Consider the following 6,622-nt stretch of genomic DNA (forward strand, 5'->3'; position numbering starts at 1 on the left):
CAGTCTGCTTCAACTAATTTGACTATAAACTTGTGTGATTTTATTATTGTGTAATAAACATTCATGTTTTGGTGAATATTAGTTTATGAAAAATGATATAGTTTTAAAGTCATCCTTTTCATTTTGGTGATTTCCCAGGAGATCAAACAATCTGCTTTTTGAATGAAATAGGACACCAAATGACAACATAGTCCATGTTGTTAATTTTATGAGGATTAAAAATATTGCCCTAATACCATAATTAATATATAGCCAGTGTAATATATTTTTCCAGTGTAAAAATTAGTTTTAGCACAAATTATTTGATAGTTTTGTCATTTGGATTTTTTCTCCCCTTTATTTTAGTTACATATAAGAAAAACTGATGCATAAAAATTAGCTTTTTAAAAGTAAATTTGATTTATAGTTTTTGAGGTTGATAGTAAAAGATACTTTTGTTTGCTGAATGAAGGAAACTTTATAAAATTACTTTAATATTGAAATTGGCTTTTAAAAATTAAAGTGGCATTGTAGATACCATACAAGCAACTTTGAAGATTTTTTTAAAGAGTCACTTTTAAAAAATTCCTCCTTGGTGCTTTTACCAATCAAATTAACTTTTCTCCTTTAAGCTAAAAATTTAACAAATATGGATATATATTTTATTAAAATAGAAAATGAAAGAATAACAATTTGTTTTCTTTTCTAGACAAAATTGTTTTAGAACCTTTCAAATCAAAGCTTAAATAAACTAAGACTTGAGCACTGAAGTTTTTATTTGAATGTGAATTATCTTAAATTTAATTGTGATATTGTCTGGCTTGAGTTGATATAAATTGTTGGTTTTATGGCTTCAAGGATACAGTAAAACTTTTTTAAATACTTTGAAATATATAATAATGAAACAACAGACATTGATTTGTTTTGTATTGTGTGGCAAGTTAACAAGATATTGAGAAGTAAGCTGGATAGATACCATATGTCCAAATTTAGAGAATCTTAGAGATTCATAGTTTCATTAATGGTACACTTTGATGCTTTGTACTACAGAAAATTATTTTGTGAAGAACAACTTTCCTTGAAAAGTTATGACCAGTGAATACAATGTTATTAGCATTCACTCATTTAATAAAAGTTTATTGAGCGCCAATTCTGTGCCAGGACTTCAGACACGTAAGCTCAGATAAGCAAACTTCAGTTTCTTCCCTCAAGGAAGATTTATAGCCTCTAAGTCAGCAGGAAAAGCAGCAAACAAGCAACTAGAATCCATGGTAGGGCTTGCTACACAGAAATATGCAGAGTTCTGTGATAACCTGGGAGAAGCCACAAACTGACTGGGAGTCAAGGAGACTGCACCCAAACTGACTTCTATAGAGAGGATAGGAGAGGAGGGTAAGCGCAGGTGATGAGGTATTCTAGGCAAGGGGATCATCACGTGCTCCCCTTAGGGAGGGGATGGGGGTAGATCATTCAGAAAATTTATAATTTGTTTTGCATACTGCTGGAGCTTGGAGGGAGAGAGAGAAGAAGTCAGGGGGATGGACCATATTAAGAGATGCGACTAGACAGGGGGAATAGAGGTTGGATTAAAGAAAGTATTTTATATCCTGCTAAAGTATTTGGGCTTTAGTCTGTAGTCAGTGAGAGACCATGTAGAGATTTTTAAGCCAGTGATGGCTTAAATATGATCCTGTTTGCATTTTAGAAACATTCCTCTAATGTTGCATTGCTGAAGAATACCACTGTTCATCTATTGTAGTGGTTATCTATTACTGTGTAAAAAACTACCACAAAGGAATGGCTTAGTTAAAATAACACACATTTATTATCTCACAGTTTCTGTGGGTCAGGAATTTGGCGTGTCTTTGCTTGATGGTCTGCTTCAGGATCTGCATTTGAAGTGCATCTGGCACTGCAGCCTCACTTCAGGGGTTGAGTAGGGAATGATCCAGTTCTAAGCCCATGTGGTTGTTGACAGCATTCAGTTCCTTGCAGAATGTGAAACTGTGGACGTAAGTTTCTTGCTAGCTGTTGACTGACGGCCTCCCTCAGTTCCTTGCCATGTGACTTCCTCAAAAGGGCAGCTCACAACATTGCAGCCTGCTTCTTCACAGCTAGAGGAGGAAATAGTCTTCTGGCAAGATGGGTATTACCCGCACTTCTGATACCAACAGCAATTTCAGGAGATTCCTAGAACCACTCTTATTACATTTGATAATTCCCTAGAAGAACTCTCAGAACTCACTGAAGACCATTATACTCATGATTATGGTTTATATAGAAAAAGGATACACCCTAAAATCAGCCAAAGGGGGAGATGCGTAGGGGCAGTGTCTAGAAGGCTCCAGACTTGAAACTTCCATTGTTCTCTGGATGCATTGCCTTACGTTGATATGTGGCAGTGTATGTGGGGTATTGCCAACCAGGCAAGCTTATTCTCAGTGTTCAGAGTTTTTATTGGGGCTTTATTAATAGGTTTGATTGATTGATTGATTGAATTCAGCCTCCTGGTCCACTGATACTACATAACCCAAATCCCTTATCCTACATCACGTGGTTGGTCTTCCTGGCATAGCCACCTCTACCTCAAGACTATCAGGTGTGGCTGATCTCACCCTAAACAAAAACACTCCTATCAGAAATAACATAGATCACCTCTCAGAAGCCAAGGCAAAGCCCAGACCTCTCTTTAGGCAAAGCCAAAATCTTTACTACACAGTACTCAATATAAAATGCTTGAAACTGAGGTGATTTTCTATTCCAGAAAGAATTGAATGCTGATAGAAAGCTATTTAGCTTTTACTCTACAGGAGTAAAAGATGAAAGCTGTCTCATGCTCAAGAGCAGGCATTGTATCCAAAGATGAAAGAGTCTTCTTTGTGGAATTCTTTTTATGAAGGCAAGGTCTTGCTCTGTCACCCAAGCTGGAGTGCAGTGGCACGATCATGACTCTCTGCAGCCTCAACTTTGTGGGCCCAAATGATCCTCCCACTTCAACCTTCTGAGTAGCTGGGACTACAGGCATGCACCACCATGCCTGGCTAATTAAAAAAATTAAAAGAATTGTAGAGACGGGGTCCTCTTATGTTACCCAGGCTGGTCTCGAACTTTTGACCTAAAGTGATCCACCTTGGCCTCTGTGGAGTTCTTTTAGGTGACCCTATTGTATTATCTTTGGTGCCTTATAGGGGTTTTATTTCCTCAAAAGTGTACCATTTGTCTGTTGGCAACCAAAAAAATGTGTTGAATGGAATGGAATTTTGGAAACAAGAGCTTCCAGGGAAAAAGTATTTTTGGGGAGTGGCTTAATTCTGATAGAGACCATATGACCTCCAAGTGGATTAGCTTTCAATGAATGCTACAAACCAGAAGAGTCTTTCCCCCATCTTCATCTTCATTCTCTAACTTTGTAGGAAATAGTTTGGTTTAGGAGTCAAAACACCTGAGTTCTAGTTTTTGTTTGTTTGTTTGTTTTTGAGACGGAGTCTTGCTCTGTCTCCAGGCTGGAGTGCAGTGGTGCGATCTCAGCTCACTGCAACCTCCGCCTCCCGGGTTTAAGCAATTCTTCTGCCTCAGCCTCCTGAGTAGCTGGGACTACAGGCATGCGCCACCACGCCCAGCTAATTTTTATGTTGTCAGTAGAGACAGGGTTTCACCATGTTAGCCAGGATGGTCTCGATCTCTTGATCTCGTGATTTGCCCGCCTCGGCCTCCCAAAGTACTGGGATTACAGGTGTGAGCCATTGCACCCAGCTGAGTTCTAGTTTTGATTCTTCATGAACCTTCCCCTGACCTTGGCAAGTTCTTTAACGTTTTGGGCCACAGTTTTTTTATCGATTGAACTTTTATCGATTGAATCGGGTTACTACAGAGTTCCTCAGCCTCTGCACTACTGACATTTTGGACCTGATAATTCTCTGTTGTGGGGGCTGTCCTGTGTGCACTTTAGGATGTTTAGCAGCACCTCTGCCTTCTACCCACTAGATGCTAGTAGTTGCACCCCACCCCCACCCCTACTTTGTGATGACCAAAAATGTCTCCAGACATTGCCAGCTGTCCACTGATGGGTGGGGGTTGGGGAAGCAAAATCATTCGTATTGATAACTGCTGAGTTACTAGATACACATAGACCCTTTTTAATCCAGCATTCTGGATTTTGTGGAAAGTCTGTGGTTTGGATCTCCGTCTTAAATCTCATACTTATGCTTGAAGCCTAATTGTTTGTTCAAACAAGAAATATGAGAACCCATGTATTTTACTTCCCAGACTAAAGGGTAAAATTTATATGGAGAGAATTATGACTCAATGTAAGGAAGAGCTCATGGTAAAATTGTATTTTATTTGTTAATTTAGTTTTTCTCAGTAGTACATAAATCTCTGTATAGTGAATTCATAACCTAAACAAGTAAAGTGATGCAAGATGTGTCCATGATGTTATGATATTTACACCTAGGCAGATTTATAACTTGGAATAGTTATATCAATTTAGGAAATTGGAACATATAAGAAACTTCAGATGTGTAGCCATTATGATTTAATTTTGTTTCCAGCTGCTCTTATGCTTTATTTCCAAGATGTAGAAGAAATGGATTTAGAATCAGGAAACCAGGGTTTTAGGTCTAGCCATCCTTGGGGACATATGAATTCTTAAAACAGAAAAATTATGTAGAACAGACAAGGTTTATTTCTTCTATTTTCTTTTTTACATCATGGAGCTGATTAAGTGTGTTATATAATATGCATACATCTGTATTTTACTTTAGTGCTCCCAAGCTTGAGAAATCGAGTGAAAATGTGTAGTGTTTCAGGTAATTCTTAAACACTGGCTAAACATTCTCAACCAGTATTATTGTGAACAAATTTATGAAGTATCCTTCTTAAAATTTCCTTTCTAAAAGTTAAATGTGTGTTCGTTATGCATTTATATTTGTTAATTAAATGGGTTTATGGTGCAACTTGGACTTATTTGTTAATAGTTACAGTTTAACCTATTAGCTAACATAACTAAATACTTGGTAGTATAATGAGAAAAATAATAAATGAATTTTCACATTTTTATTTCCTGCTATAAATATCAAATTAACTGGTTTAGTCTGTAGCTCCGATAGGTAACTGTGCAGTCTTGATGTACTATTTGAAGAAAATACTTTATTCTTCATCGTCTCCCAGGGAATGCATTGAGGTTTTTCTTTGTTTTGTTTTGTTTTTTGTTTGTTTGCTTGTTTTGAGACGGAGTCTTGCTCAGTCACCCAGGCTGGAGCTCAGTGGTTCAATCTCGGCTCACTGCAACCTCTGCCTCCTGGGTTCAAGCAACTCTCCTGCTTCAGCCTCCCAAGTAGCTGGGACTTCAGGTGCGTACCACCGCGCCTGGCTAATTTTTTGTGTTTTTAGTAGAGACAGGGTTTCACCATGTTAGCCAGGGTGGTCTCAATCTCCTGACCTCATGATCTACCCACCTCGGCCTCCTGAAGTGCTGGGATTACAGGCGTGAGCCACCGTGCCCAGCCTCATTGTTTTGTTTTTAATGAGAAGTACTTAAGCAGGTTTGAGTTAAGGCATTTTCAAGTACCAAAAAATGATTGTTAATCTGTCTCCTCCTTGGGCCCTGAGCTAGAGGACGTGGGATGCATTTACTTATATGCACTTTTAGAGGGAGGAGCCAGAGCAGAGTTGAACTGTTCTTGCTAATAAACAGGAGGAGGTTGACCACACTCTGGGGCAGGGAAGCCAGCAACTGAGTGCCTTGTGAGGGGGTGGAGGGAACCCTGCCATCCTCACCCTGGTGGGCCATCCAGATGGTGCTTTGAAAAGCTGCAGTGTCCAATAGTGGTTGTGAACTTGTGAGATATATGATTTAAGCACCCTAATGAAACCCTTAGTAGTCTCTCTTGTCCACTATCTTTTGTATGAGTAAAATGTTGGAAGGAACCCAAAGAGATGCTTACTCTGTTTTGTGTGCCAGGAAAAACAGTGTGAGCACCCAGGAGTGTGCAGCATCTGGATCTGTGGGCTGCTGGGCCAGATGTGCTACAGTGAGCCTTACTGTTTACTTGATACCTCCAACTCATGTGCACTTTATGTGCTTTATTATACCAATTATTTATCTTTATCCTTATGACAACCATATGGAAACCATCTTTTTTAAAAAACAAAGAAAGAGACACTTAAACTAAATAACTCACTCAAAGTCACCTAGCTTAAAAGTGTCATGTCAGGCTTTATACCCACATAGCTCTTATATCAGATTCCTTTTTTTTTCCTTTTGAGACAGAGTCTCGCTCTGTCTCCCAGGCTGGAGTGCAGTGGTGCAATCTCGGCTCACTGCAAGCTCTGCCTCCCCAGTTCACACCTCTCCTGCCTCAGCCTCCTGAGTATCTGGGACTACAGGCGCCTGCCACCACGCCCAGCTACTTTTTTGTATTTTTAGTAGAGACGGGGTTTCACTGTGTTAGCCAGGATGGTCTCAGTCTCCTGACCTCGTGATCTGCCCTCCTCGGCCTCCCAAAGTGCTGGGATTACAGATGTGAGACACCACACCCAGCCAGATTCCTTGTTTTGAATTGCTAAATTTGTTTTTGTTTTTTGAAACAGGATCTCACTCTGACACCCAGGCTGGTGTGCAGTGGCATGATGTCATTTCACT

At 39.4% G+C, this 6,622-nt stretch overlaps 1 protein-coding gene across 4 annotated transcripts in view; it reads left to right on the plus strand.

Moving 5' to 3' along the window:
- CENPP (centromere protein P) overlaps positions 1-6,622 on the plus strand; it is a 295,062-nt gene that overhangs the window by 79,282 nt on the left and 209,158 nt on the right. The gene's annotated exons all lie outside the window — the stretch shown is intronic.

This window comes from Homo sapiens, chromosome 9 (assembly GCF_000001405.40).
Source record: "Homo sapiens chromosome 9, GRCh38.p14 Primary Assembly".
NCBI lineage: Eukaryota > Metazoa > Chordata > Mammalia > Primates > Hominidae > Homo > Homo sapiens.